General features: G+C 36.1%; 1 protein-coding gene and 1 long non-coding RNA gene across 21 annotated transcripts in view; one reads left to right on the top strand and one right to left on the bottom strand.

The window, feature by feature from the left end:
• LOC124904230 (uncharacterized) overlaps positions 1-861 on the top strand; it is a 124,812-nt gene extending 123,951 nt beyond the window's left edge. For all 8 annotated transcript variants that reach the window (XR_007066249.1, XR_007066245.1, XR_007066243.1 and 5 more), the window contains one exon: positions 841-861. This is a non-coding gene — a long non-coding RNA (uncharacterized LOC124904230). The remainder of the gene's footprint in view (positions 1-840) is intronic.
• The window catches only part of AGL (amylo-alpha-1,6-glucosidase and 4-alpha-glucanotransferase), a 74,766-nt gene that overhangs the window by 9,966 nt on the left and 38,318 nt on the right, over positions 1-26,482 (bottom strand). For 12 of the 13 annotated variants that reach the window (XM_005270557.3, NM_000643.3, NM_000644.3 and 9 more), the window contains 10 exons: positions 25,950-26,080; positions 22,702-22,838; positions 22,319-22,452; positions 21,451-21,626; positions 17,670-17,772; positions 13,197-13,422; positions 11,264-11,375; positions 3,211-3,346; positions 1,541-1,653; positions 320-531 (listed from right to left, as the gene is read on the bottom strand). In XM_005270557.3, the coding sequence (XP_005270614.1) occupies positions 320-531; positions 1,541-1,653; positions 3,211-3,346; positions 11,264-11,375; positions 13,197-13,422; positions 17,670-17,772; positions 21,451-21,626; positions 22,319-22,452; positions 22,702-22,838; positions 25,950-26,080 (1,480 nt within the window). The remainder of the gene's footprint in view (positions 1-319; positions 532-1,540; positions 1,654-3,210; positions 3,347-11,263; positions 11,376-13,196; positions 13,423-17,669; positions 17,773-21,450; positions 21,627-22,318; positions 22,453-22,701; positions 22,839-25,949; positions 26,081-26,482) is intronic. The other variant, NM_001425326.1, reaches the window with a different exon arrangement.

The raw sequence follows: 26,482 nt of genomic DNA, 5'->3' as shown, positions 1-26,482 counted from the left end.
CCTGCCTCAGTCCGCCAAGTGTGTGAGCCACTGCATCTGGCCACAAATAACATCTTCTATGTGTGCTCTGAATGTGAAAAACTCTAGGAAGCACTTCATTAGTCATCATCTATTACTTTCGGCTTTTGGATACTGAATGTTACAGGTTAAAAGTGATACGCATAATACTTGATTAATTAGGAAAGACTATTTAAAACTAGCTAGTAAGCAATATACTACTTTTTAGCAATGAAGTGAATTTGAAAACAAATGGGAATAAGGAACTAAGCAAACTCTAGCACATCATTTTTTGAAATGTTTTTACAAACGAATCACCTACCACAACCATTGCTATGGTAAAATTAGGCCTGAGCTGATAGTCACACCAAGGACTTGAAGCTCCATAACTATCTTTGTATATGCCACGTTTGTGAACCAGATTTGGATGCTTTTCATTTAAATCTGAAGGGTCTTCGGAAACATGAAATAGCTTTTCAAAGTTGTCTTGTATTTTTCTGTTCCACTCATCATATGAGACCTTTATAGCCTTTCCTGAAAAATGACATAAGACATGGTAGTTTTAATCATTCAAAACAATTCACACATCTAGTTACAGACAAATAGTAATATTTAGTTTATTTTTATCTACTACAAGGCAATAAATTATCCACTTTTGGAAAATGTGGCCAGTCTGAATTGAGATGTGTTATAAATGTAAAATATAAGCTGGATTATGAAGATGTAGCACCACCCAAAAAGAATGTAAAATAGCTCATGAATAATTTTATATTGATTACATGTTGAAACAATATCTTATATACATACACTGAGTTAAATAAAATGTCTTTTTTTTTTTTTAAGACAGCGTCTGGTATTGTCCACCCAAGCTGGAGTGCAGTAGTATGAACTTGGCTCACCGCAACCTCCGCTTCCTGGGCTCAAGCCATCCTCCCACCTCAGCCTCTCAAGTAGCTGGGACTACAAGCTCACATAACCACACCCTACTAATTTTTGTATTTCTTGTAGACATGGGTTTTCATGTTGCCCAGGATGGTCTCAAACTCCTGAGCTCAAGCGATCTGCCTGCCTTGGCCCCCCAAAGTGTGGAGATTACAGGCATGAGCCACTGCACCTGGCTGATTTAATAAAATATCTTGTAATCAATTTCACCTGCTTCTTTTTACTTTTTAAAATGTGGGTACTATAAAATTTAAAATTATGTATGTGGTTCACATTATTTTGGACAGCACTATTCTAGAAAAAGACATGTAAAGATTGCAAAATTGCTCACAGAAATGCAACTTGCTCAGTCACAGTGAGGAAAAAGACATGCACAATAAAGGCAACAGCTATGCTGCTTTCTTATCTCAGTTCAAAGTTGCGACAAATATGGTTCAACTAGAATTGTTACAATTTTCACACTAGTAAATTAATGAATTTTCTTTCTTCTTAATTTTAAGGGTTTTCCGATATTAGCTGATAGAATCAAATGATGATTACATAGGTTGAGAATATACATAGTACATTTGAAGGTTCTTTGTAAATAAAATAACCAGCTTACCATGTCTTTTTACTGTGACTTCATGATAAGGGAAAATATTTTTTTTGGATAATTCCAGCAACCAGCGAACAGCAGATTTACTCAGGCCCACAATTTCCACAGCAGACCCATCTCTAAAATTAAAAAACGTATTTTTATTCTTTAAGTTGGCGTCCTTTAAGTACTATTTAAAGGGCATTCGGTAAACAATTGTAATGAATCATATAACATATTATGAAAACTATTAAAAAATCCTTACTCTATAGGAATGTGTACTATATCATGTAAAGATTTTTTCCTCTCACGGTTTTGCCATTGTCTATCATCCTCACATAATTTTAAAAAATTCTATGATGTAGAATGGGAATTGTGGAATAAAAGAAGATGGCAGTTGGAAAAGGTAGGAGTAAGGAATCTGAATATTGGGATAAGGTACTAGAGAAAAGATAGCAAACATGAAAAATAGGGCTGGAGAAAGTGAGGGAAGGCAGACACATTAATTTGAAAGCTCATTTTTAAGAAAAATAAAAGGGAAGTACAAGGATCTAATGTACCAAATAGATTTTTAAAAAACTGGTAAAGCATGTAAAGATGGCAACTTATTTATTAATTATTTTTTGTAGAGATGGGGCCTCACTATGTTGCCCAAGCTGGTTTCAAACTCCTGGGTTCAAGCTATCCTCCCACCTCAACCTCCCAACCTCCCAAAGTGTTGAGATTACAGACGTCAGCTACCACACCCAGTACACAACTATTTTTTGGACAATTCTTACTGAAGATAAAATTTAGAATAAAAGGCCGAGTGCAGTGGCTCATTTCTGTAATCCCAGCACTTTGGGAGGCTGAGGTGGGTGGATCATTTAAGGCCAAAAATTTGAGATCAGCCTGGCCAACATGGTGAAACCTCGTCTTCACTAAAAATACAAAAATTAGCCTGTCTGGTAGTGTGCGCCTGTAGTCCCCAGGTACTTGGGAGGCTGAGACAGGAGAATTGCTTGAATCTGGGAGACAGAGGCTGCAGTGAGCCATGATTGTGCTACTGCACTACAGGCTGGGCAACAGAGTGAGGCTCTCTCTTTCAAAAAAAAAAATTAGAATAAGAAAATAACTTCTCAGCTTAATACAGTATCAGAAGCTATTTTAATAGACATTACTTAATGGGTACAAAGTACGTTATTTGGGTGATAGTAATATTAAAAGTGATTTTAATAGCTTATGATGATGTATTTAGCATTTGAAATGATAAAAACTTCTTAAATGACAAACATTAGGAAAAAAGATTTAAAAATTAGGAAAAAAGGTTCAGAAAGTGAAAGAATTGCATAAAAGACAGAACAACTGGTTGTTTTCTATGTTTGCAAAAGATGGGCATAATGAAATGTTTACATCAATAAGCAGTTCAGGTTACGAAAATGTCTTAACCACTGGGATAATGAATCATAAATCTTTCCTTTGAGGTGCTTGTAGAGAATCAACCCACGAGCACTTACAGAAAAGAACAGATAGTGTTACTTGATAACTTATATCAACAGGATTGTGTAAATGTATAATGGGGAGATGAAGGGAAGAAGGCAGGGAAATTTTGATTGACTTAATGTAAAGAGTTCATAGTTAACAGAATAAAAGATTCCACAAGTAAGTGCTTTCTTAAAGAAGGGTATAATTACACAGCATTATAACATTTACACTACCTTGGTGTGGCTGGGATTCCTCTGTTTCTAGCTCTGTCACTTTCTCCCATTTTATCCATCCATGTGCCACAATTGAAACGATTTCCTCCATAAACAAATCCTGTTTCTTCATCAACTCCTGCAGTTATATTAAAACCTAAAAAACAAAATGTGTATAAAATAAAATTTTATAAGTATTATATATAGTATATACAAATATTTTAAAACATTTACAAAATTTTAAATATAATAAACTAGGACAACCACTCTAAAGCTCAGTTTGGTGGTATCTTATTATTTTGTATCCAGAATATACAAGCACAAAGTTGGAGATGTGTATATTCTACCACATAGGAATTTCATTTCTATATATATTCTAGAGAAACCCTTACTTATGTGCACATGGAGATGTGTACAAGGATATTCACTGCCACATTGCTTGCATTCACAAAAAATAACTGCTCAATAGAGGAATGGATAAACACTGTAGTTTATTCATACAATGGGAAACCCTCTATACCATTTGAAATTAATGAACTGGATTTACATGTATCAAAATGGAGCTAAATAATGTATGTACATGGACATAGAGTGTGGAATAATAGATACCAGAGACTCAGAAGGGTGAGATGAGAGTGACAGATGAGAAATTACTTAATGGGTACAATGTACATTATTTTGCTGATGGTTACACTAAAAGCCCAGACTTCACCCTTACCCAATATATCCATGCAACAAAACTGCCCTTGTACCCCTTAAATTTATATAAAAAAGATAAATCTCCAAAACAAAATGATTGAATAAAACAAGTTGCAAAAGGACATATATAGTAAGATAACTTTTTTGTAAAAGTTTAATCATAGATAATACTGGTATATCTAATATCTGTGTATAATCTCAAAACATAAATTATTGATTATAGTATATATTATAGTACACTGAATATATGCTATGTAATATATAGCATAAGTAATTTACACATACTCAAACACACATAACTACAGAAAGTTCAAAAACTTCTGGTATGAAAAAGGGGAGAAGACTCATTTTTCCCTGATCTTCCTCTCTTAAGTACAATGAAAATCCCTGAGCATAATACAGTGGACTATCATAAGAGGACTCAAAAAGTGTAAAGAGGAAGGCAGATTGGCTAGGAACCTCAAGACTTGAGGAATGTCATAGTGGTGAGTTCCCTGGTTTTTTTTTTCTTTTTTTAAAATTCTCCATATATACCAGTCTGGGTGAGATGTAAACTTGGAAAAGCAACCTGCAACCTCCAACAGGTAATGACAAAGAGTTCCAAGAAAAACCAATTGACTCTAGCCAAAGGAAAAGGAAAGAGGGACCCTACCCAGACAGAAACTTTTGTGACAACATCCGCCCTGTGCCAGTAAACACCATGGATGTCCTTTCTCCCTGGAATGTCAGTGGAGACTGAGTGGAAGCCTGGACTCCTATCCCCTACCTGGGGGTAGCAGATGGCTTAAGGCAGTGCTCCCCTTCCTCAGCAGCGTGGTACCTGCGGGCACCACGAGGGGAATCTGGGGAGTATGAACTTCCACACCCAACCTGGCAGTAGTAGGTGGCCTTGGGGTGGCAGCAGGCAGCTCAGGGTGTTTCCCACCCCTGCTGCATGATGTTAGCACAAACTGGGTGGGGAGTATAGACTTCCACCCCCAGTGGAAGCAGGTCGTTAGGGACAGTGCTCCCCTCTCCTGACAGCATGCTGTCAGCAGAGACTGAGTGGAGAGTCCGGATTTCCATGCCCTGCCCAGCAGTGATGGGGTGCCCCTCACACTCCCAACTAGAGATTTCAGGGAAGATCTGAAGAGGAGGAAGCTGGAAAACCACGCTTTAAAGCTGTATAGGAAGTCCTGGGCAGGCTCTGACCAATCTACATGTGAAACAGATGAGCATTAACACACCCAAAGGTTTGAGAAGTAAATTACACAGTGTGGAACTCCACTCAGGTTTCCTGAGTGGCCTCCTGATAGCCCATGAATGAAGTAGACCAGAATAACCTTGCTAAATATTAAATTGTTACTGAAACCACAGCCCACAAGAGTAGGCCAGAAGCTGCATACTAAACTTAAATAACGGCTACTTGGTAAAATGAAAGATTTCATAGGATCCAGTGTCCTATAACATCCAAAGGTCTAGGAAAACACGAAAAACTACTTGTCAGGCCAAGAACCAGGAAAATCGCAACCTGAATGAGAAAAGGCAATTAACAGGTGACAACACTGAGGTGACTCAGATGTTGGAAGTATCTGACAGAAAAGCTTAAGGGAGGTATCATAAAAATGCTCCAAAGAGAATGATGCTTTGTAGAAATAGAAAATTCCATCTTAAAATAAATATGGAATCTCCAGGGACCTTGAATAGCCAAAACAATCTAGAAAAAGAACAAAGTTAGAAGACTCATGCTTCCTCATTTCAAAACTTACTACAAAGCTACACTAACCAAAACAGTGTGGTTCTGTCATAAAGACAGACACAGAGGCCTATGGAACAGAGAACCCAGAAATAAACCCTGTATATGCAGTCAAATTTTTTTTGACAAGGGTGCCAAGACCATTCATTGGGGAAGGGACAGTTTATATTTTTTTTGGCAAATGGAGCTGAGTAAACTGGATATTCACATGCAAAAAAAAAAAATGGACTTGGACTTAATATCATATGCAAAAATTAACTCAATATGGATCAAAGACCTAAACACAAGAGTTAAAACTATAAAATTCTTAGACAAAAATGTATGGCAAAAGCTTCATGACATTGAATTTGATGAGGCTTTTTTGCATATGATACAATAGGCACAGGTAACAAAAGTAGATAAATTGGACTTAATCAAAATCAGAAACTTTTGTTTATCAAAGGATACTTTTAAGATAGTGAATAGACAACCCACAATATGGGAGAAAATATTTGCAAACCATATCTAATAAGTGTTTCGTATCCAGAATATACAAAGCACCCTGCACCTCAATAACAAAAGAACTCAATTCATTCCCTAAATTCAAAGGATGTGAATAGACATTTCTCCAAAGAAGATATATGTATGCCTGCAAGCACATGAAGAGATGCTCAACATCACTAAGAAATCATTAAGGAAATGCAAATCAAAACCATTAGATACCACCTCATAGCCATTTAGGATGGCTACTAGCAAAAAAAACAAAAAACAAAAACAAACGAACAAAAACAAAAACCAAAACAACAAAAACAAAATCCAAAAAAACAAACACAGAAAAAAACAAGTATTGGTGAGGATATAGATGAATGGAAGCCTGTTTACTATTAGTAAGAGTGTAAAATGGCACAGCCACTGTGGAAGACAGTACGGTAGTTACTCAAAAAGGTCAACAAACAATTATCATATGATCCAGCAAGTTCTCTTCTAGGTAGATACCCAAAAGAATTGAAAGCAGGGACTCAAACTGATATTTGTACACCCATGTTCACAGCAGCATTATTCCCAATAGCCAAAAGGTGGAAAAAACCCAAATGTCCATTGACAAATGAATGGAAACACAAAATGTGGTATATACATACAATGGAATATTATTCAGCCTTAAAAAGAAATGAAATTCTCATATGTATGATAAGGGGTTAATATCCAGAATATATAAGAAACTTCTACAAGTCAATAACCAAAAAATCAAAAACCAATTAAAAAATGGGCAAAGGGCTTCAATAGACAATTCTCCAAAGAAGACCCATAATTGGCAAACAAACATATAAAAAGATGGTTAACACTTCTAATCATTAGGGAAATGCAAATCAAAACCAGAATGGGATATCACCTCACACCCATTAGGATGGTAACTATCAAAAGAACAGAAAATACCAGGTGTTAGCAAAGTTGCAGAGAAATTTGAATAGTTGTGGGAATGTAAATGTTGCAGCCATTATGGAGAATATTATAGAAGTTTCTCAAAAAATTAGAAATAGAATTAACATACAATCTAGCATTCCACTTTGGGTATATATACATAAAAATGAAAGCAGGATCCTGAAGAGATATTTGCATACACATGTTAACTGCAGCATTATTCTCAAGAGCCAAGAGATGGAAGCAATAAAATGCCCACTGACAATGAATGAATAAAGAAAATGTATGCATACAATGGAATATTATGCAGCCTTGAAAAAGAAGGGAATCCTGTCACATGCTATGAGATGGATGAACCTTGGCATTATGCTAAGTGGAAAAAATCAGTCACAAAAGAACAAATACTGCATGATTTCACTCATATGAAGTATCTAAAGTAGTCAAAATCACAGGGACAGAAAGCAGACAGGTGGTTACTAAGGCCTGGGAAGAGTGGGGATAGAGGAGGAAGAACTAGTGTTTCACGAGTATAGAGTTTGTTTTGCAAGGTAAAAAAGTTCTAGAGATCTGTTCCACAACAATGTTAATATACTTAACACTACTGAACTGTACACTTGAAAATGGCTAAGGTAAATTTAACGTTACATGCTTTTTATCACAAAAAAGACAAAAAAAGGAATAAAATTATGACATCTGCTACAACATGGCTGAACTTCAAAAGAATTATGCTAAGTATGTACAACTCTTATGTATTGATAAAAAATAATTATGCTAAGTGAAATAAGCCAGGTACAAAAGGGCAAAGACTGTATGATTCCGCTTATATGAGGTCCCTAGGATAATTGAATTTATAGAGGCAGAAAGTAGGATAGTGGTTCCAGGGGCTGGGGAAGGAGATAATGAGGAGTTCCTGCTTCAATTAGGAATGATGACAAAGTTCTGGAGATGGACAGTGATGATGGTTGCACAACAATGTGATTGTACTTAAAGCCACTGAATTGTACACTTAAAATGGCTAAAATTGTAACTTTTATGGTAAAATGGTAAATATACATTATGTCTATTTTACCACAATAAAAAAAACCAATAGTAAAAACAAAACAAAACAAAACAAAAAACAGCACTCCAATTATACAATTATAAAACGGACAAAAGAGATTGAGCTCAGTGGCTCATCCCTGTAATCCCAGCACTTTAGGAAGCTGAGGCAAGAGGATTGCTTGAGGTCAGGAATTCAAGACAAGCCTGGGGAACATAGGGAGACTCCCACCTCTACAAAAAAATTAAAAAAAGAAATTAGCCTGGTTCAGTGGTGCACACGTGTAGTCTCAGCTACTTGGCAGTCTGAGGCAGGAGGACTGCTTAAACCCAGGAATTAGAAGTTGAGTGAGCTATGATGCACCACTGCCATCCAGTCTCAGTGACAGAGTGGGACCCTGTCTCTAAAAAATAATAAAGAAAGAGACAATGTGCAAAATACGTGAACCGACATTTCAGCAAAGAGGGAAGATGGATGGCCAATGAGCACATGAAAAGATATTCCATACCATTAGCCATTAGGGAAATGCAAATTAAAACCACAATGTCCAGCCTGGCCAAAACATGGCGAAGCCTCATCTCTACTAAAACAACAACAACAACAACAACAACAACAACAACAACAAATACAAAAAATTAGCTAGTTGTGGTGGCATGCACCTGTAGTCCAGCTACTTGGGAGGCTGAGGTACAAGAATCGTTTGAACCCAGGAGGCAGAGATTGCAGTGAGCTGAGATTGCGCCACTGCACTCCAGCTGGGGGACAGAGCAAGACTCCATCTCAGACCCACCCCCCCACCACACACAGTTTGTAGTGGTCTATGAAGCTATCTGAACAGCTTAAAAGAAAGGGGTACCACCAAATGCTGGCAAGATGTAGCAAAACTGGATCTCTCCAGTTTGCTGGCGGGAATTTATTAAAATGGTAAAACACTCTGGAAAATAGTTTGGCAGTTTCTTCTAAAACAAAACATATACTTACTATATGAACCAATCCCATTCTTGGACATTTATCCCAGAAAAAATGAAAACTTATGTGTCACACAAAAACTTGTACATGAATGTTCACAGTAGCTTTACTCGTATTAGCCAAAACATGAAAACAACCCAAATGTCCTTCAATGGATGAATGGTTTGGATGAATGGTTAAATAAATACTGGTATATGCATAAAAGGGAATACTACTCAGCAATAAAAAGGAATAAACTATTGATAAATGCAACAACTTGGATGGATCTTAAGGGCATTATGCACAGTGAAAAAATCAATCTCAGAAGGTTATATAGAACATGGTTTCATTCATATAACATTCTCAAAATGACAAAACTATAGAGTTGCAGAACAGATTAGTAGCTGCCAGAGAGACCAGGGTTGGGGGTGGAGTGGTCAGGTGTGACCATAAAAGGGTACACAAAGATCTTTATGGTGATGGACCAGTTCTGTATCTTGATTATGGCAGTGGCTACATGAAGCTATACATGGGGTCAAATTGCACGGATCTACACATACACATATACACACAAGTGAATGTAAAAACTTTTAAAAGTTGAAAACATACTAATGTCAATCTCCTGACTCTGATGCTGTACTGGGTGAAGAGTTCATGGCATACTATGTATCATTTTTTCAACTTCTTGTGAGTCTAATCTTTCAAAATTACAAAGTTTAAAAAACCCACATGAACATAAAACAATGCATGTTTTACAAAATAAATATATAATAAACACATTGGAATGACTAAGGGGAATGGGGAATAAAATGAAATAAATTACTATTAGCCTTGCATTGGCGGCGATGATAGTGTGCCATGAGATGACGAATATGGTGAACTCAAGAGAAGTTAGAAAAGCACATTTATTTTAATACCATATACAAATAAACCTTTCTACAAAAAGTATTTTGTAAGTGCCTAGGCTCTCAAGATAGACCATGAGTAAAGTCTACCTCTACCACTTAGTAGCTATGTGACTCTGGGCAAGCTACTCTGCTTCAGTTATCCAGAATCTACAAAGAACTCAAGCAAATTTACAAGAAAAAAACAAACAACCCCATCAAAAAGTGGGCAAAGACATCTATGCAGCCAACAGACACATGAAAAAATGCTCATCATCACTGGCCATCAGAGAAATGCAAATCAAAACCACAATGAGATACCATCTCACACCAGTTAGAATGGCAATCATTAAAAAGTCAGGAAACAACAGGTGCTGGAGAGGATGTGGAGAAATAGGAACACTTTTACACTGTTGGGGGGACTGTTAACTAGTTCAACCATTGTGGAAGTCAGTGTGGCGATTCCTCAGGGATCTAGAACTAGAAATACCATTTGACCCAGCAATCCCATTACTGGGTATATACCCAAAGGATTATAAATCATGCTGCTATAAAGACACATGCACACGTATGTTCATTGCAGCAGTATTCACAATAGCAAAGACTTGGAACCAACCCAAATGTCCATCAATGATAGACTGGATTAAGAAAATGTGTCACATATACACCATGGAATACTATGCAGCCATAAAAAAGGATGAGTTCATGTCCTTTGTAGGGACATGGATGAAGCTGGAAACCATCATTCTCAGCAAACTATCGCAAGGACAAAAATCCAGACACCGCATGTTCTCACTCATAGATGGGAACTGAACAATGAGAATACTTGGACACGGGAAGGGGAATATCACATACTGGGGCCTGTTGTGGAGTGGGGGGATGGGGGAGGGATAGCATTAGGAGATATACCTATGTAAATGATGAGTTAATGGGTGCAGCACACCAACATGGCACATGTATACATATGTAACAAACCTGCACGTTGTGCACCTGTACCCTAGAATTTAAAGTATAATAATTAAAAAAAATGGAAACAATATCACTCATTCTCAATGTTTTGGGGAGTGTTAAATGGTAATAATATAGGTAAAGTAGTTACCACAATGCCTAGCAATAGTAAGCATGCAGTTCATGGCGATTATTATAGTTATAAATGAAACCACCAAAATTATCTTTCAAACTGGCTGACAAAAGATATAAAATTTTATTTTTCTGCTAGAAACTAAAAACTTGGTGAGATCAGGAACTATGTTAATCTTTTTAATCATTATATCGTGAGGTTTGGCACACAAATATTTACTAAGTGAACAATTGCAAGGTTTAATTTCATCACCTTGATAAATTTGTACTATTTTAGTTAAAGTTCTGTACCTTCGTCCTTCATGTTTCGATCTATCTGGGGACCAGCATTCCTTTCTCGGAACTGTATGCCCTGCATGTGTTTTTGCATTGCTTCCTGTATGACTTCAAACAATGGCTGATCCTGTTTGAGACATAATGGGTGTTACCTCTGTTAGAAATTACATTTTTCTTATTTTCCCCCAAATCCGACAACTGAAGTAATGTGAAAATATATACTTTCCTTTGAAGTGAGAAATAGGAATTGGGGTGAGGCCAGGGAAGAAGCAGCTCCTATATACCAAATAATACAGACGAGCATACAAATATTTAACATCAGTAGTTTTGACTATTCATGTCTGTGACATAAAATAATCTGCTGATACACAAAAACAAATCTAGTGAGCTTCTACAGTTTCTATCAGAGTGATCTCTTCAGCTAATAAACGAACCTAGCTTGTTATCCAGCATCTGAATTTTAAATTGGCATTGCTATTTTTACTCATCTGCATACACAGGTAATGGGGGTAAATTATGAGCTAAAGGGAAACTCTCAAATTTGAGGATCCATAATGACTTTGGAAAATACCCCAGTGAATGTAAAGAATTCATAAGTCATTTTCTTTACCCATATAAATAATAAATGTGATACTCAGGATGACATTTGGGAAAATATACAATTATATTTTTAAAAATAAGGTAAAGAATGTTAAATAGAAGCAAAATGTTTAGAGTCCTTACATGTTTATTATGTTTCATTTTAAAGACTCTGAATATAACCAAAACTCTATAATATAAAAATTCTACTATTAATTATAAAAATTATAATGCTGTGAATATTTTTGGATAAACTGTGAGAAAACAAAGTTATGTGTAAAATAATTACCTGCCTGATAGCATGAACCTATATTCATTGTAACAGAAATGTCAGTTGATAACAGAGGACAAATAAAAAAATTTTGGACAAATGTTGAGTACTTCATGATATAAATAAATATCATGAGAACACAAATATATGCTAACCCTGGAGTAGCTTACAAAGCTACTATCCCCTCCCAGCCCCCCCAATCATATATAACAAACTATTAACATAAAGGCAGATCAGAAGTGGCAAAAGTATAGTATTATTGTCCATTCTTGATTAGGGAAAAAAAAACACTCAAAAATGTCTATCCATTCTTCACTGTTCATAAGATAATCTTTAAGCTCCCTGGATTGGTAGTCAAGGCTCTCCATAACCTGGCTCACCCTTTCCATAATCTCTTACTACCCTGCAGGTATCCTACACAAAAAGCCAAACCATATTGACTTTTTCACAAAACGTATTTTATAAGAGCCTAGGCTCTTACAAAAACACTATTAAGTACTATGTCCCCTAAACTGTGCTTCAATCCACTATGCAACCCTATTATTCCTTTCCTCTTTTTTTTTTTTTTTTTTTTTTTAAAGAGACTGAGTTTTGCTATGTTGCCTAGGCTGGACTCATACTCCTGGCCTCAAGTGATCCTTCTGCCTCAGCCTCCTGAGAAGCTGAGATTACAGGTGTGTGCCATACACCTGGCTTCTTTTCAACTCTAATGTCTCCCAACAACTTTCTCCATCTCTCCGAAAGTCCTACTCACCTTTTATGGCTCATTTAGGTGAAACTTTAGCTACTTTCTAACGTTCTCCCTGAGACCTACCTACTGGACCTTCTCTCTCTTTTAAGAGACTACACAACACTTCCTCTACAATCTATTGCAATGGCCATATTTATGTACACATCATCATCTCTTCTACCATGTTGCAAAGTTCTTCAGGCAAAGACCAATCACTTATAGTACCAGCAGGTGCCAAATCAATACTGACATTTGAATAATTCGTAAGATTTGGATTCTTAATTACCCTTATTTTTACATTAGAAACTAAAAGTCATTTTTCAGAAAAAAAAAAAAAAACAAAAAAACATTTTAAGAAATATCTTTACCAGTGTGCCAGCAGGCAAAGGAGCAGAATCATCTGTAGGATACATTCTGGAAACTGGGCACTTGAGAATGTCTAGACCATTTGGAACCATTTTACAGTAATCCTGGATACACTGCAGCCACCACCACACAGCATCCCGACAATTGTATCTGGCATAAATTCCTTCACCCAGTAGATTAGGAATGAGACCATGCCTCAGGGTACCCGCAAATGCTAAAATAATATTCCTAAAACAACAGAATTAAGTGGATCAGAAATGAAAACAAACACTTAAAAATTGAAGACAAAAACCAGTCACTTTTGGTGACTATATTTTGAATGCGTTTTCTCTCTTGCCCTATTTCTTTATATTTTCATGTAGAAAGTAGTCATAGTATGATAGAGTAAGTACTGAATTAAAGTCAGGAACCTTGATTCTAGACTAGAATTTTATGCTAACAATCTGTGTGACTCCCTCTCTGATACAGTTTTTTCATTTGAGATTGGACTGGGTGATTTTTAAGGTCCCTCATAGCTCCAGATTCTACTTTTGAAGTCTATGGTATTTCAAAATCGAAGTAACTATTAAACAAGAACTTAATTATTTTAAATAGCAGAAACCAAGAGTAAAACAAACATATAGGAAAACAAACTGGCTGGGCATAGTGGCTCACACCTGTAATCTCAGCATTTTGGGAGGCCGAGGCGGGCGGAACACCTGAGGTCAGGAGTTTGAGACCAGCCTGGTCAACATGGTGAAACGCTGTCTCTACTAAAAATACAAAAATAAGCCAGGAATGGTGGTGCGTGCCTGTAGTCCCAGCTACTCAGAAGGCTTAGGCAAGAGAATTGCCTGAACCCAGGAGGCAGAGGTTGCAGTGAGCTGAGATTGTGCCAGTGTACTCCAGTCTGGGCAACAGAGCAAGACTCTATCAAAAAAAAAAAGAAGAAAGAAAAGAAAGAAGGCCGGGCGTGGTGGCTCAGGCCTGTAATCCTAGCACTTTGGGAGGCTGAGGCGGGTAGATCACGAGGTCAGGAGATCGAGACCATCCTGACTAACACGGTGAAACCCCGTCTCTACTAAAAACACAAAAAATTAGCCGGGCGTAGTGGCAGGCACCTGTAATCCCAGCTACTCAGGAGGCTGAGGCAGGAGAACGGCGTGAACCAGGGAGGCGGAGCTTGCAGTGAGCGGAGATTGCGCCACGGCACTCCAGCCTGGATGGCAGAGCGAGACTCAGTCTCAAAAAAAAGAAAGAAAAGAAAGAAAGAAGGAAAGAAAGAAAGGAAGGAAGGAAGGAGAGAGGGAGGGAGGGAGGGAGGGAAAGAGAGAGAGAGAGAAAGAGAGAGAGAAAGAGAGAGAGAGAGAGAGAAAGAAAACAAACTGGTAGAAGCTGACCTTGAAAAACATAATTCAACCAGTTTAAAAACTGGTTGAAGACAGTTAATTTTTTAAAGCATTATTTTACTATTATATACCAAATGAAAATTTTGTTTGTAAGACAGAAAGGCACTCTAGAAACAGCATGAAATTAAGAAATAAGAAGGCTGAAGTCTAAATCCTAGCTTTGCCATCTGTGTGGCCTTGGAAATGTTATTTAAAATGTCTAGGTCTTACTGCTTTTTGGCTAAACCACTCAGAAATTTTTATTAATTCTATGTCTAAGCTTAATGCCCATCTTTTCAACAGTAATGCAATGGGAAACTTTTTATTTACAAAGTATAAAAATATTAGTATAGACAGTGACACTTTCAATTAAGAAAAGGTCAGAATACTAGCTCTCTCTATATATACATATATATTTGTTTTTTTAAGAGACCCTGTTGCCCAGGCTGGTCTTGAACTTGTGGACTCAAGCAATCTGCCCGCCTCAGGCTCCCAAAGTGCTGATTACAGTTGTGAGCCACCATGCCTGGCCATAGTGCTAGCAATCTTAACCATCTGGAACAATCTTGTACATTTTAATAAAACGACTTCTGATTCATGATTACCTCTATAGAGGGAGGAAGTAGAACCATCTGTGGTAGAGGTATATGTCCACTAAAACGAATTTCCTACAATTCACAACCAATCTTACAGTTGGTTGTGGCCAGAACTGATGCATGTTAAGTGTATGGAGAATAGGTGTGTTCCCCCAGCTCTCTTTCCCTCTCTGCTTGCCTCCTGGAGAGGCCCCAGAAGCCATGGAAACTGACAGATCCTCAAGCTGGAAGAAACCTGCTTCCCTGAATCAGTATATAGAAGGCTGCTTACTGAGCATGCGTCTACGACTACAAGCAAGAAATAAATTTTATTTGTGAAAAGCCATTAAGATTTTAAGTGTTTATAATTTATGGCAGCTAGCACTACCCTAACAAATACCCTCTGGGATAATATATTATTCTCTGGGAATCACCTCTAGATCGGGGTAGGCAAACCTTTTCTATAAAGGGCCATATACTAAGTATTTTAGGCTTTGTGGGACATATATGAATTCTGTTGCACATGCTTTCTTCTTTTAAATGACCCTTTAAAAAGAAAAAGGTAAAAGCTATTCTGGTAGGGCGCAGTGGCTCACGCCTGTAATCCCAGCACTTTGGGAGGATGAGGCAGGCGGATCATAAGGTCAGGATATCGAGACCATCCTGGCTAACATGGTGAAACCCGGTCTCTACTAAAAATACAAAAAATTAGCCGGGTGTGGTGGCGGGCGCCTGTAGTCCCAGCTACTCAGGAGGCTGAGGCAGAAGAATGGCATGAACCCGGGAGGCGGAGCTTGCAGTGAGCGGAGATTGCGCCACTGCACTCCAGCCTGAGTGACAGAGCAAGACTCCGTCTCAAAAAAAAAAAAAAAGGTAAAAGCTATTCTTTGCTCATAGGCCATACAAAACAGGTGATAGGCCACAGTTTGCTAACCAATAATCTAGACAGTTCTATGTAAAATTAAGCAGCACAAATTTGTGATATTGCATAGAGGTGATAATTGGGAGCCTAAACATTAATAATGATAAAAACTAACATTTATGAACTGTTTAGCATGTGGCAGATATTACTCTAGGCATGTGGCAGATATTACTCTAGGCACCTTAACTGTATGTGTTCATTTGATCCTCCCAAGTACCCAGTAAGGTAATTTGTCAGTTGGTAGTTTGGAACCAGGATTAGAAGCTGGCAGTCTGGTGTAAAGCCGAAGTTCTTAACCACTATACTATGCTGAATGCTGATGTTCCATTTCCTTCTTCTAAATCAGTAATTCAGGAGCATTTAGGGAAGAAGCAAACAGCTTCCTAAATTTCTATAGCTCCATAATGGTAATACAAAAAGGTCTTACTATATATCGGATTAACAAAAATGCAATTCATTTCAGATGCCCACCTAAAAACTTCAGTTTTAAAAGTATCAAAAATAAAATTTTGGCATGTAAAGATGCAAACTTCAGTTATTTTCCTGATGGCATCAAAACAAGGTATCGTATAAATGCCCTTTTGCTGAAAGTTTTATCTTTTAGAGCAGTGCTTTCAAACTTCAGCCTTAGACTGTTGATAATCATCCAGAGACCTTGTGAAAACACAGATTTCTGCCCACCAACCCTACTCTCTCTATGTCCAGGTTTGGATTTGGGAGGTTTGGCATAGGGTCCAAGAATCTGCATTTCTAACAAGCTCTCAGGTGAGGGTGACACTACTGATGTGTGGAATGCATTTTGAGTGGCACTGCTGTAGTGCTTTCCTTTCGACCTCCAATAAGTTCATTCATATTATTGTGACATTAAAAAAAATACCATTTTACGGCCGGGCACGGTGGCTCACGCCTGTAATCCCAGCACTTCGGGAGGCCGAGGCAGGCAAATCACAAGGTCGGGAGTTCAAGACCAGCCTGACCAACACGGTGAAACCCCGTCTCTACTAGAAATACAAAAATTAGCTGGGCGTGGTGGCGGGCGCCTGTAATCTCAGCTACTCAGGAGGCTGAGGCAGCAGAATGGCTTCAACCCGGGAGGCGGAGTCGGAGGTTGCAGTGAGCCGAGACTGTGCCGCTGCACTCCAGCCCGGACGACAGTGCGAGACTCTGTCTCAAAAACAAAAAACAAAAAACAAAAACAAAAAAAACCATTTTAAGTCTAGAAAACATAAAACTGGAGGTTACAAGGCTTGACAACAAATAGAGGGAAACATCAAGACTTCTACAAGACTCAGACAAAGAACTAGCAATGCCTTCACTATGGAAGGCATAAAAAGGTTATAACATTTTTAGTTTTGTTGAAATAAATTAGCTAATGCTAAAGATAACCTGACTTGTAATATGAAGGACTAGAACTTAGTGACTTCAAAGATTTTCACCCCTTTGAAATTTTATGATCCTATTAAGTGAACATACAAAAATAAAATAAAAACTACCTAAAGAAAATACAGCTCCCAAATGTTAAGAAAAGATGGACAAGAAGGAAAGTTTGAAGAGCATGTAAAAGACATTCAGACATAAACTCGCAGTACAACACTTTAGAGGCTCTCCTACCTGGCTTCTACATAGCGTCCAGTAATCAGCAGTATACCTCTAAGTGCAATAAAAGTATCCCTTCCCCAGCAGCGGAAAATACCAGAAGAAAAATGAGGTAAGCCTAACAAAAAAAACACAACAAAGTAATATGTTAATCATAATAATACACACAAACCTATGAACTCCATTACTATAGAACAGTTACTCTAAACCTGGGGTACAAGGCAGGCACCTGCAAATCCTCTAAAACCCTCTAAAATTATTTGCAAAATGTATGTCTATACTTATGTTAACTTCTGTCAAATGAGATTCCATTATCTTGTCAGATTCCTAAAGGAACCTATGACCTAAAGAAGATTAAGAACCAGAGCTATAGAGAGATACTTATCTAAATTGAGGTGTGAATACACAGATAAACTTTTCTTCTTTCTGAGAGAGGGTCTGGCTCTGTTGTCCAGGCTGGAGTGCAGTGGCACAGTCTTGCGTCACTGTAACCTCCACCTCCCAGGCTCAAGCCATCCTCCCACCTCAGCCTCCCAAGTAGCTGAGACTACAGGTAGACACCACCATGCCTGGCTAGTTTTTGTATTTTTTGTAGAGAATGAGGTTTTGCCAGGTTGCCTAGGCTGGTCTTGAACTCCTGAGCTCAAGTGATCTGCCCAACTTGCTTTCCCAAAGTGCTAGGATTACAGGCAGGAGCCACTGTACCTGGCCAAACTTTCTTTTATAAATTAAATCTAAAGAGTAAAATCAGAGATCAAATATTTAACACATAAACACTAAATATTAATTATATATTTAAAAAGACTCTACCTTGAACTTAAGGACAATAAATAAACCTAAACATGAAATTATTACCTTAATGATACCTAATTAAGTATATGGAGTCAACATTTGAGCACTTGAGTCAACATTATCAAATTTCCCACTAATTTAAAACAACTTAAAAGTGTTATATTCTGTACACAATATGTACAATTTTACTTGTCACTTCAAGTTATCTGGCACATTAAATCCTTCATTCTAGGTAATTGGAGGTTTTATATACAAGATAAAATAGTATGATTAATGGTGCAATCTAAAATTTTACTTAAAGATTGAGTTTGGTTTCTTATAAAACAGTAAGGTCAGGAATTCGAGACCATCCTGGCCAACATGGTGAAACCCCATCTCCACTAAAAATACAAAAAATTAGCCAGGCGTGGTAGTGGGTGCCTGTAATCCCAGCTGCTTGGGTGGCTGAGGCAGGAGAATTGCTTGAACCCAGGAAGCGGAGGTTGCAGTGAGCCGAGATCACGCTATTGTACTCCAGCCTGGGCAAAAAGAGCGAAACTCTGTCTCAAAAGAAAAAAAATTATGCCAAAGCATAAATATAACACATATTTTGGTTAGGGGAAACTGAGGACAAATAAAATATACACAGCATTCACTTATAACTATCTTAAAAGCACTTAACGCTATCTGAAAATTATCTTGTTTGCTATCTGTTGAATGCATATATCTTCCCAGTAGGAAATAAGACCTATGAGTAGAAACCTCATCTACCTTGTTCACCAACAAGTATGTATTCATTGAAAATTGTAACTGTATATAATATATACCTATAAATATTTGATGACTGAAATAAAAAACAAATATTAAAATGTAGATCGAAAAGTGAAAGAATTTGACTAAGATAAAAGAAAGTTTTGGCAATTCCTGAGTGTACTTCACAATTTAAGTTTCTGTTTATTGGGAATTAGATGTTAGTTTCTTCCATTAAGAAAGATAAGAATTAGACCTTTTTCCTACCTATGTTGTCTCCAAAATGACGGTACAAAATTTCCCCAAATACACTGTGTATTATTTATTTATGATTAATATGGTTTATATATGGTTGATATATACATGATATTAATTTTGATGATAGTGATGACAGCAGCTAACATATATATAGCACTCTGTGCCATACACACTTCCTGGTACTCTGACCCATTTAATTCCTTGTATGAAACATGAATACAGGTAGATTCAAAGGTGAGTCTGAATCGGTATATCCAAAAATATATGCGGTCTGTCTTTGTGAAAAAGTCAAAACTATAAAATCTCTAGCACTATGTATGGAAATGTTTGTATTAACTTTTTGACCTCTAAGAGTACACAACTAATAGATTCCATATCTTCTAAGTGATTTCTAATTTGTCAATTATTAGAACAGGCTACAAATTTTTTTTTTTTTTTGAGACAGGGTCTCCTCTGTCACCCAGGCTGCAGTGCAGTGGTGTGATCATAGCTCACTGCAGCCTCAAACTCCTTGGCTCAAGGGATCCTCCTGCCCCAGCCTCCTGAGTAGCTAGGACTACAGGTACATACCACCATGCCTGGCTAATTTTTAATTTTTTTTTTTGGTAAAGATGGGGTCTTGCTATGTTGTTCAGGCTGGTCTTGAACTCCCTGCCCCAAACGATCCTCCTGCCTCAGCCTTCCAAAGTGTTGGGATTACAGGTATGAACCATTGTTTTTAATTGCTGTTGTTGCAATACTATAACCAAAGGAAGACATCCCCAATCAGTTTAAAATGAACCCCAAAAAACCTATCTGCAAATCTGAATACAGTCCTATTTTTTACAAGTATGGAATAGGCAAAACATTCCCTTGGGATGCTAGGAGCAAATATCACACTTCTATTTGTATTTGTTTATCAACTTAATTTTTTAGTTTTTATTTGTTTTATATCGTACCTGAGAAGTATGTCAGATGTAACAGTTTATATCAGTATATCGTTTAAAGTGTATATTTTGAAGATGTTTAACAACAGCAGTACACAATCAAAAAGGTTGAAATTACTATTTTTTGTAATGGGTTCTAAAAAGTAGGCTTTAAAACCAAGTTATTTACATCAATGTTTCCTTTGCCCCTATGGCTAAGGTCAGTTTCATGAGCATCTGCATGGATTCATGAGGGAACAACGGGTACCAGGAGATCAAACAGTCAAATGAAAATCTAAAAACACAATTATAGAACTTAAACAACGTTTTATGAATGTTTCATGAACATTTTTAATGGAAAGGTAATTTTCATTTTAGTTGTTGGGTATCACTAAGTCTTTTTATCTGGTCTAAGTAGCTGCAAATTTAAGGGTAAAAGAGGGAATTACACAGATAATACTATTTCTTTCTTCCTGTAACTTGATATTTTTCAGTTTAGTTTGGAAAGTTCTAAACTTCAGTCACCTCAAATACTAAGTACTTTCTAGAAATATGCTTGAAATGTATTAAAAAGAAAACAAAAGCCTGTCCTTTAGCCTATTTTGCTTACTTGAATTTGTTACTTGATTCAGGTTTTAAATCTAGTTGGAATAAAGGATATTTATTCAAATGTTGAAAGCATTTGATTCCAATTAGACACATGATGAAAATTATTTAACATCTGTTTTGTTTTATAATTTATAGGGACCCTTACATGACCTCTTGATAATTACAAGATTGGGTTTATTTTTTAAAATTGGGGGAAAATATAGAAAAGAGAATAGCAAAATAAATTTGATTTAAAAAAACACAGAATGTCAAGAGTTGGAAAAAATAGAAACATGAAGAATCAGCTAGCCATAAAAAACACACATAAATGCCTGGTGCACAGTTATAATTAAACAGTAAGCATGGTTATTATTTTTATGAGTGAATATCTATGAAATGTACTAAGTGGTAAAATAAAATCTTGAGTAGCATTACAAGCTTTTAAAAAATAATCATTTTCCTATAACTTTTCTTCCGCGAATACTATCGATTTACATATTTTAACCTTGTACATAATTCCTTACCTGCAGCTAGAGAAACACAACATTGCTCCTTTTCTTTTGTGATCTCATTTAACCTATAAGGTACATCCATTAGGGCAGGTGAAAGAATTGGCAGGGAAGGGAATTTTCCTACTCCACACAGTTGAACTGAACCCAATGAAAGGTGTTTCACAAAGGTTGAACCATTCTGAACAAAGCTGTAACAAAAGTGATTGAATTTATTACTTGTAGAAATACAATTTTTAGCAGTTTTATTTTACTTGGTTTCTTTCCTTCAAATGATTTTTCTATACAAATCTATAACAATAGTAATATTACTTAACATTTTTAAAACTTTGGTTAGATTTCAAAACTGCTTTCATTTCACCCATTATTTTAGCTGGCTTACAGTCCACAGATGGTTGTAAAACAAATGGTAGAAATGAAAGTTTGTTCTTGTGAAATTATGTCCTAATCAATTTGGTGGCTCTCACGAGTACACTTAAATTTGTGGTTTCATTTTAGGGAAATTCATCATTAAAGGCAAATTTCATTCATAGTAATAGTGGAATTTTTTCTCCTAATTGATGAAAAATTAGAAAAATTGTACATGTAGATTTCAGAAACTTTATCAATTAACTCAATAAGTCAGTGAATACATAGAAACAATATAAAACAATATTCTTATCAATATGTTTTATTAGCTTTTAGAACAGATTTTATAATATTCAAGTTTGTTTTTGTATGCTACACAGACTAAAGGATGCTAATAAATTTACTATCCACCTACAAGCCTTTTCAGTTCTATGACAATTCTTTATGGTTTGGTTTTTTAAGAACATGTATGAAGTGACTCTGTATATAGTTTCAACACAGATATGCCCATTTATTCAAGCTTTGTTGGATATACCTTGACATCTGCTTCCATGCTGTATCCAGAAGAGTGGTATATGCACCAATTAATATAGCATCAAAGTAACATGGGATAAGGTAACGTGGGATCTGCTTCAGGTAGAAGAACATAGCCTGCAACCATTTACCAACCTGTAATTAAAATAAATTTGAAAGTTAATTTGGTATGTGTACAGACTAGGTGTGTTTTTAGAGGTAAATCTAAATGTGCAACTTTATCTAGTAATCTATAAACCCGATTTCCATTTATTATAACTGAAAGATGATGAAGGAAGGAGGAAAATGGTTCAGGTTAGAAAACAATGTAAATATTATATATAACATGGTAATATTTATTATTATGTCCTTGATTTTTTGGGACGATAATATAGCTCTACTTACTTCAGCAATAGTTCCTGATCGTGAAATAAGCCGGTTACTGACATAGTCAATCATCCAATCTCCAGATCTCAAATTATTACAAAAAGGATGCCCCAAGTCATTCTTTGGTCTTATTTCTGCCAATACAGACATTAAACCTGAAAATTCAGAGACATGTCATGCTGTATTATTGGTAGCATCAATTTGTTCCTATATCCTCTAGTCCCTATTCTGCTAGTCTCTATTCTAGTGATTTGGGGTGAATACGTATTAGAGGCACACACAAGGGCTACCCAGTCCACAACACTGCTTAATACAGTTGGAGATAAGTATGACAATACTGGCTTGAGCCAAGTTACAAAGGCATACTGAAGGGGACTACTGTCACAAGAGATATAAAGAGCTTTTCAGGATTCATAACTTCTGGGACTGGTCTTATTCTTTTGGATTTTAATGTTATAATATTCAAGGGTAACTGGCATGGCTTCCCTGCCCAAAAGCATCTCAAGAAAGAAAAGTAATAAGCCTGTATTTTTTCATGTTGAAAAGTAGTGGGTTCATCAGTATTCAGGCTAGATTTAAGGAAGTCATAGAACTGGTTTCAGAAAGAGCAAGAACACCTATGGAGATAATAAGAATAAAGCATGCTTTGGAAGGAATTGTTAAAATTTAACAGGAGGTACTTAGAACTAAGTGAAGTATCAAAATGAGGTATATATATATATATTTTTTTTTTCTTAATCCTTCTAGTCTTCAATTAGAAGCATTAGAATTTCCCAGATTTTATTATTTCAATGATGCTACCTTAAAAATTATATTGGCATCACTGACTTCATTTAGACTAAATTTATTTATCTATTTAGAATTGCATGAATTTTACTAGGTATGTAGCATGTTTTGAGAAACTAAAAACTATATAAATTTAAGATAAAGTTCTTTCCCTCAAGGGGCTCACAATCTTCTCTGGGGAAGAAAGCTTAAAACATAAAGATGTTGGGAAACAAGACTATAAAATAATATTCTACATATGCCCTGGCATTTTCATGGACAGCAGATAATGCTCGGTAAATGTTGGTCTCACTGTTGAATAATGGAAGGACATAAGGAAAACAGTGTTTTAGAAACAGATCTGATGATGACCAACGGAATGGAATGATTTGTAGATGAGGTAACAAGATTTGGAAAATTGGTTAGTTGGTTTTGTATATAGGACTTAGTCCTAGAATAGAGTGAAAACTGTGGTAATAAAAAGGATATGGTGTACCCAACAGAACATGGAAAAGAATCCACAAATCATAATGACTGATTGGATACTGAGGATGAAAGGAGCAGATCCAAAATGGATTCCTGGATTCCAACATGACTAGATATACCGTATTATAAGGAGGGAAATACATTTTGTTTAAGGGAAAGACAGGTCAACAAAGTAGTTAAATCTGATTTAATCTGAGGCTCTTATTAGCAGCCTGCTGGAAATATGTGGCCTGCTGAAAATATTAAACAATCAGAGGGAAAAGGGATTGGTATAAAGCAGCAAAAAATAAACAGGTAAAGGCAATTCTATTTAGAAAAGATAAGAAGAATCATTTCATTAGAAAGATAAGGAGAATTAGCAAAGAACCAAACTTAACTATAAGAAAGACAAAGGCTAGAAAAAGAGCACACACAAGTTTGGTCTTTGTAGTGAACTAGAAGTAGTTTAACAACTCAGAGTGAAAATGAAGTAGATAATTACTCAAATCTGATAACATACATACATCTTTTAAAAATTAATTAAATAAATAAATTTATTTATTTTTTGAGACAGTCTCACTCTGTCACCCAGGCTGGAGGGCATTGGCATGATCATAGTTCACTGCAGCCTCAAACCTCTCTTGGGCTCAAGTGATCCTCCTGCTGTGGCCTCCCAAAGCATGAGATTACAGGTGGAAGCCACCATGTCTGGCTCACATACACTTCTTTCTTACTCATAGCACAAAACATTTTGTATTAAAAATGAGAATATTTTAGAAAAAAAGATCATAAATCCAAAAAGTCTCAAAAAAGTTTATTGAGAACCGCTTACGTGCTTGGTTTTGCAGAAAGTATAAAAGCTAAAAGACAAGAAGCATAAAAAAGATAAAACTTAATTCTTCTTTCTGAAAGTGTGCAGCCTACTTAGTGTGGTTTTAAGGCTAACAATTTCCAATTACTTAGTATGAATTAGGTGTCGTCTAATGAGCTGTTCACATGTATTAATTCATTAATCCTAACCATAATCCCTGTGGTAGGTACCATTTTGCAGGGGAAAAGTAAGCCATAGAGCATTTACTTCAGGTTATAAAACTAGTCAATGTAACCCAGGAAATCTGGTTTTAAAGCCTGTTTCTTAATCACAATGATAAAGATTCACAAAAATCATTATACTAACTATCAAAATAAGGCAATATATTTCAAGGGCCAAGTAAGAGGTATAGAAAATAAATGCAATGGTGTCTGGAGGACAAAGAAATTACTGTAAAAAGCAATAGTTAAAGAAGGTTTTATGAAAGATGCAAGAATTAAATTAGTCCTTAAAGATAGGTTAGATGGAGAAAGAAATAAAGAGTTGAACAAAAGGCATAAGTGAAAACTATATGAACCAGGAATACAGGTGTGATAAAGCAAATTTCTTAAACATCTAAGTAAATATTACCAACTAGATGAATAAAACTGATAAATACTTAATTCCTTTAACTCATCTTACAACTACTGTATGTTTTACTGTAAGTTCTCTTTACAGGATAAAACAAATATGCAATAAAATATATTTCCAATTAGATTTAAAAAAAGGTGAATGGATTATATTTACAACCTAATCCCACTTGGGGCCCAAACAAGAATATTCTGTTTATTATATAATAAACCAGGTCAAGAAACATTAATCAAGGTCCAAGTATACATAAAGAGCTATACAGACCTTAAGGAAAGAGATAGAACTAGTATTTCTAGGTAAAATTTACTGGGTAATTACTTTGTGTTACATCCTGTTTTCAGTGTTTTATGTGAATGATCTCATTAATCCTCACAAAAACCTTCTAAATTAGATAATATTATTCAAATTTTATAGAAGCAGAAATTGGCACACAAAGAGGTTATATTACTTGCCAAAGGTCAATTAATGAGCAGAAGCAGAGCCATAATTGCAACCCAAGTAGGCATACTCTGAGCCTATATCTATGTCTGTAAAGAAGACACCAGATGACCCTAAAAGAAAAACACAAAGCTCAGCTATCCTTCCATTTGCTTACCTTGAAGACCTGCATATTTAAGGGCTGACCAGTTTGGTATGTCATAGCACCCTCCACCATCTTCCTTTTCTTCTGATTCACATCGGTAAAGGATCTGATTTAGCTCAGCCAAAGTTAATCTGGAGGCAAGACTAAGAATTGGAAAATAAAGATAACCATATATTGAAGTTTCGCTTGTTGTCAATAGAAACAAAAGAAGAAAATCTGAATTACAATCATAAAATGTCTTAGCAGTGTATGTTTTAGGAACTCAGCATTCAAATAAACATTATACTCATACATTTTAAGTAATTATTAAAGGACAAATTGTGAAAAAAAATTCAATTAGAAGCGACATTACTCCCAAACCAAGCAAATAATCAAGTACCAAATTGTATTGATTAGAAGTATGCTGGGAAAATATTTTGGCTTCTATATCCTTTATCTTATAAATCTGTTTTTTTAACCTTTCTAGTTTGGACTTAGTGTTTTCCTTCCTTCCTTCATTTATTTATGTGTTCTCATCTGATTTCTCTCCTTTATATTCCCCTAAG

Source organism: Homo sapiens, chromosome 1 (assembly GCF_000001405.40).
Source record: "Homo sapiens chromosome 1, GRCh38.p14 Primary Assembly".
Lineage (NCBI taxonomy): Eukaryota > Metazoa > Chordata > Mammalia > Primates > Hominidae > Homo > Homo sapiens.
The sequence above is the reverse complement of the archived record's forward strand: the minus strand, read 5'-3'. Positions and strand labels throughout refer to the sequence as shown.